Source organism: Homo sapiens, chromosome 4, assembly GCF_000001405.40.
Source record: "Homo sapiens chromosome 4, GRCh38.p14 Primary Assembly".
Classification (NCBI taxonomy): Eukaryota; Metazoa; Chordata; class Mammalia; order Primates; family Hominidae; genus Homo; species Homo sapiens.
Genome location: NC_000004.12, coordinates 72,755,954 through 72,762,539, shown reverse-complemented (window position 1 = coordinate 72,762,539; position 6,586 = coordinate 72,755,954).

Sequence of the window (6,586 nt, the reverse complement as noted above, 5' to 3'; positions counted from 1 at the left end):
TTTTCTTTCTCTTTCACTCTAATTATACTTAATATATTTTCTAAGCAGAAAGTAATCAACAGGGAGAAAATTCAAAACGACACACAAGAGCTAGAATTTTTTCTCAAACCTTTAAATGACATTCCAATTGAAACTATATTTAATGGCAAACGATTTCTAATTACACTCTGTAATTCTTGTCTCATTGAGGAGTTCTTCAGGAAAACTGTTTCCTGACACAGCCACAAAGGCCATGCTTTAAATGTTGGTACCCTCCTCGTGTTTAATTACCAGATATGGTGGTAGAGGTAAATGGCTCCAGAACACTGAGATTTTGGCTTCAATAAGGCTTCATGTTGTCCTTTCAAGGTGAGTACCAACTTCTTTGTATCCCCATGCTATTTGGCAGAGTGACAACTGGGTAGTGCATAGTCATGAAGCCTGGTTCTGCATATGAACACAAAGAATGCTGTTGTATTTTCACCTGTAGTAAAAAACAGTTTAAAAGTCCTATAAAGAAGCCAAATAGAATTTAAGAGCTCACTACATATTGCTAATTACAAACAAATTACACAATTCCTAGTTATTGATGATTTAAGAACCTTTGTAATAAGATTATATTCAGTGTCTCTAGCTCACCACAATTAGAAATTTTGCTTTGAGTAATGAAGTCTCCAGGGTGTGGTGGGAGGAGGACGGTCTATAGAAATATAATACATATGGCTGGTGCTGCCTCAAATGTACATAAACTGCCACTGCTTTATCAAATTGTAATATCTCCCCTTTCAAAATCTTAGACAGCTTGTGCACACCATCTGCTCTTTGTCTGTATTCCTTCTGTGCTTTTCTTAATCTAGAAGAATGGTTCTTGAAATTCTTACAGGACTCTTTAAAACGTTTGCCACATATTTTGAGAAGCATCTGGTTGGAAGAAGTCCCGCTTTCTGTATTTGTTCCCAGTTGTCTGGTGTGTGCCATGTTTCTCGTGAACCTAGTTTTGTTAACTTTCAGAGTAAATGCTTTTGCATTTGCTGCGGCACATATTTATGGTGAGACTAATAGCCCAAAGCAAGTTGTTAAGGGTTGTGTAAATGAAGACTCAGTGTCAGGAAAACTTGATTAATTTACCTGTCATCTAATTTGCACAAAGTTACCTGGAAATTGCTGTTTGTTTCTTTTGCTTGATGATTTCAAGATGAAGTTTGTCCCTTTAAGGAATCTTTGATACCTTGAATACTTGCTCAAACATCTGCTCTGGTTTCATCAGGGAGACTTTGGGATAGCTATAAGTCGCTTAGCTTTCCTTCAACAAACAAGGCACCTACCTGTCAGTAAGACAAATTTCCAAGGAACTAAAAAATGGAGAGTGTTACAAAGAAGCTCTGAATCTTAAAGGGACAGAACTTTCAGTTAAGTCAGCTATGGAAATTGTTACTGGCCACTTTTTATTCTTTTCATAGGTTTTTTGGGGGATATCAACATACATATGCTAAACATTTGAAATTTCAAAACATATAAAAATTAAGATCACACATAATCAATAGAAATAATCAATAACTAACACCTGTATGGTGCTTACTATGTATTACAACAAGAACTGTTCTAAGGCTTTACTCATATTAAGTCTTTTAACTCTCATGACGATTTCAATATGAGAAATCGTCATGAGAATTGAGATAGATCCCATCATGGCCTTAATTAAAGAGATAAGGACCAGAAGCACAGTTAAAATATTTGCCTACAGTCACTTGGCTAATAGGTGGCAAGCCTAAGATTCAAATGTAGGCAGTGTAATTTCAGAGTCTAACTTTTAGTTGCTATGCTGTACCATCAACACTCACTTACCACTGTTAACACTTACATGAAATTCTTTCCAGACTGCTTTCAATCAAGTTTTTAAGACAAGGTTGAGATCAGAGTATGTTTATTTATTTGTCTTAATTTTGTTTACTTAATTAATCTTGTAACAAGTTCCCTCCCACACTATTTACAGACTTATAGTAATTATTTTTCTTAGTCCATTTTGTGCTGCTATAACAGAATACCCGAGACTGGCTAATTTATAAAGAACAGAGATTTATTTCTTATAGTTCTGGAGGCTGGGAAGCCCAAGGTTGATGGGTTTGCATCTGACAAGGGCATTCTAGCTGCATCATCTCATGGGAGCAAGTGGAAGGGCAAAAGAGCATGCATGTGTGAGAGAGGTTGAGAGAAGGTGAGAGAGGGAGAGAGAGGGGGCCAAACTCATCCTTTTATCAGAAACCCACTCTCTCGATAATAGCATTAATCCCTTCATGAGGGCAAAGCCCTCATGATGTAATCACCTCTTGAAGGTCCCACCTCTCAACACTGTTGCTTTGGGGGTTAAAACCACAGCATCAAACCACAGAAGCATCTTTGGAAGAAAGACATTTTAATTGAGTAAAGCAAGTGCCCCCTACTTCATATATCACCTATTTACAAAAACTTGCTTTGTCTATTAAGCAGTAACATAGTATGGGAGAAAGAGCATGAGTGCCAAGTCAGTGCAAGTGAATTGGAGTAAATGATGGTGGGTAAATCCCTTAGCCTTTTTTAGTGACATTTTTCTCATTTATAAAATGGGTTAATGGTGTTGATAATTTGAAGTACAATGTTGTCATGACTACTAGAAGATATACGTGTGAAGGTACTTAGGCACTTGTATAACTACTTACAAATGTCAGTGATTACTTTTAATAACAGCAATAATAAATCAGCATATCCAACCTTGACTGACAATCTTTCAAGGGAATTCTTTCATAGGCAAAGGAGGAGATCAAAGAGGTTTGTCAAAGCGATGAACATAAAACATTGTCAGGAACTATTGAAGAATACTTTAGTAACGGTAATAGAAGCACTGGAAAGCACACACACATGCACACACACACACCCAACAGCATAAATAAGATTTTCATGTATTTCCTTTGAGACTTTTTCAATCAAGCTTTTTCTTTCAACTTGTCTTTTGGTTCCTTTCTAGTCTAAGATCAACACACTTTGCTAAATCAACTTCTTGGAACACTCCTCACTTTTAATTTGTTACTTGCCCTTCTACTTCATTTATCTTTTTTTTTTTTCAAAAAAAGAAAATTTTTTTACTTGCTTACTTAATTTCTCTCTTTTCTTATCTTGTCTTCACTTCCCAATGTCATTGATACATGAAGTGCTTCTATTGGTAGACAAACAAGGTCTTGGGGTTAGGGACTGGAAGCTTCTAGTGGACCTTTGAGAGATGCCTGTCCATTCCTGTTCTCTGCCTCCTCAAAGGACCATACCCAAGCAATTTCAGCTACAGAAGAATGGGCATTTGTTATTGCAGTCCACAGGGAAGAAGACTGAGACTCTTTGCTCCAACAGTACACTTGCATGCAAACTATAGCCACAAGAATCAACTCGATTAAATGCATTGCTTTGTAACTGACCTGGCTTAACCACTTTAGAAGAAGATAATATTCAAAATCTAATAAAATGATAAAGAAGTTGGATTATTTTTAAACTCTCAGTTCCTTCTGAAATTGGTTGGAAATATCTACAAAAATTGCAGGCAACGTTTTATATGAAACACTCTACTCTAATTCTTCAGTTTTTGCCATCTTTGGATATTGTCAGTAGTAGCTCAGCACATACTGAAATGTTTTTGTATTTTCTTTTAATTTGAGGTTTGGCACTTGCATTAGGAATCTTAGCAAGCCTGAATGGCAGCTCCAACTGAGGTGGAATACCTGTCTTGTAAAGTTGTTATGGATATATCCTTGAGAATATGAGAAAAGAAAGCCTACATTCTGAGAAGATATCACCAGTCCCTGCCCACTGCTTGAATCCGTGCTGTCCTGCCCAGAGAATGTACTATAGAAAATTCTGCAGTGGGCAAGTCTAGACAAAATATTTTTGGATGCTTTGAGCATATCACTCCAGATTAACTATTGCCAAGGGGTTAATTGGACTCAAAGATCCCTCCCCATGAGGTTTGAGAGTCTGTGATATAAATTCCATCTGTTTCTTGAAGCAGTTTATGGGTTTGGCAATATGAGATATTGGCCTGACAATTGTTTAAAAAATCCTTTTTAGCCTGATACAGGTAAAATTTTTTATAGCATCCAGATTTATTTTCTTCAACATCTAATTTTAAATTAGAAACCACTCCAGTCCTGTGTCTGGAATACAAAATTTATTCTGAATGTGAATACTGCATAGCCATCTTTTGACCAAAGAGGTATAACTTTCATACTGTAGTGGAGGAGTAGAACTTTCTTCATCCAATTTTATTGCTATGAGAATTGGAATGTTATAAATAGTGAAATCAGCCCTTCAGTATTTCTCAACTATACTTACTTTGTTTCAAGGGATTGTCTATGAACTGTCTTCAGTGGATTATAAGATCTGAGACACTCTCTTGGCTTATGTGACAGCATATATTCATTTTCCATGAATAAATTTCATACAGGTAAATCTAGGTTTAAAAAACAAAAGAAAAGACAAAATTAAAGGGGAAAAATTAGGAAAAGTTAGCCTACAGGAGGGTGAAAGTTGAAAAAGGGGAGAAGTCATTTCATTTCCTTGCCTTAATTATGGAAAGGAAGAATCTGCTTCCTTCTAACCCCTTCATCACTCACAATCCTAGCTTTTAATTTTACATGAGGATCTGCCTTGGCTATCTTCGTTCTCAGGTGGAGATTTCCTTCAGGTTTGTCTGCTTCAACCTCCTCTTGTTCTGTGAAACATTTGGCTTCTTTTCTCCAACTTTTATTTTAAGTTTAAGGGTACATGTGTAGGATGTGCAGGTTTGTTACATAGGTAAACATGTGCCATGGTGGTTTGCTGCACAGATCATCCCATCACCTTTACTTCCTGCTCCCACCTCCCCACCCTCTGATAGGCCCCAGTGTGTGTTGTCCCCCACCATATGTTCATGTGTTCTCATCATTCAGATTCTACCTATCAGTGAGAACATGTGGTATTTGGTTTTCTGTTCCTGTGTTAGTTTGCTGAGGATGATGGATTCCAGCTCCATCCATGTCCCTGCAAATGATATGATCTCATTCCTTTTTATGGCTGCATAGTATTCCATAGTGTATATGTACTACATTTTCTTTATCTAGCCTGTTACTGAAGGACATTTAAGTTGGTTCCATGCCTTTGCTATTGTGAATACTGTTGCAGTGAACATACACCTGCATGTATCTTTATAATAGAATGATTTATATTCTCTTGGGTATATACCAAGGAATGGGATTGCTGGGTCAAAAGCTATTTCTGTCTTTAGAACTTTGAGGAATCAATACAATGTCTTCCACAATAGTAAAACTAATTTACACTCATACCAATAGTGTATATGCATTCATTTTTCTCCACAACCTCACCAGCGTGTTTTGTTTTGTTTTTTACTTTTTAATAATAGCCATTCTGATTGGTGTGAGAGAGCATCTCATTGTGGTTTTGATTTGCATTTCTCTAATGATCAGTGATGTTGAGATTTCTTTCATGTTTGTTGGCTGCATGTATGTCTTCTTTTGAGAATTGTCTGTTCATGTCCTTTATGTACTTTTTAATGGTTTTTTTTTCTTGTAAATTTAAGTACCTTGTAGATGCTGGAAGTTAGAACTTTGTCAGATAGATAGATTGAAAAATTTTTCTCCCGTTCTGTAGGTTGTCTGTTCACTCTGATAATAGTTTGTTTTGCTGTGTAGAAGCTCTTTAGTTTAATTAGATCCCAATTGTCAATTTTTGCATTTGTTGCAATTGGTTTTGGCATCTTTGTCATGAAATCTTTGCCTATGCCTATGTCCTGAATGGTATTGCCTAGATTTTCTTCTGGGTTTTTTTTTTTTTTTTTTTTTTATTCGAGACAGAGTCTCGCTCTGTCTCCCAGGCTGGAGTGCAGTGGCACAATCTCGGCTCACTGCAAGCTCCGCCTCCCGGGTTCACACCATTCTCCTGCCTCAGCCTCCCGAGTAGGTGGGACTACAGGCGCCCACCACTGCACCTGGCTAATTTTTTGTATTTTTAGTAGAGACGGGGTTTCACTGTGGTCTCGATCTCCTGACATCGTGATCTGCCCACCTCAGCCTCCCAAAGTGCTGGGATTACAGGCGTGAGCCACCACGCCCGGCCTCTTCTGGGTTTTTTATAGTTTTGGGTTTTACATTTGAGTCTTTAAGCCATCTTGAGTTGATTTTTGTATATGGTGTAAGGAAGGGGTCCAGTTTCAATTTCTGCATATGGCTAGTCAGTTCTCCCAGAACTGACTATTCTTAAATAGGGAATCCTTTCCCCATTGCTTGTTTTTGTCAGGTTTGTTAAAGATCAGATGGTCATAGGTGTGTGGTCTTATCTGGATTCTCTATTCTCTCTCATTATTCTTGTACCAGTACCATGCCATTTTGGTTACTGTAGGCTTGTAGTAGCCTACAGTAGGATTTGACATCAGGTAGCATGATTCCTCTAGCTTTGTTCTTTTTGCTTAGGATTGCCTTGGCTATTTGTGCTGTTTGTTGGTTCCATATGAATTTTAAAATTTTTTTCTACTTCTGTGAAAGATGTCAATGGTAGTTTAGTGGGAATAGCATTGAATCTATAAATTGCTGTG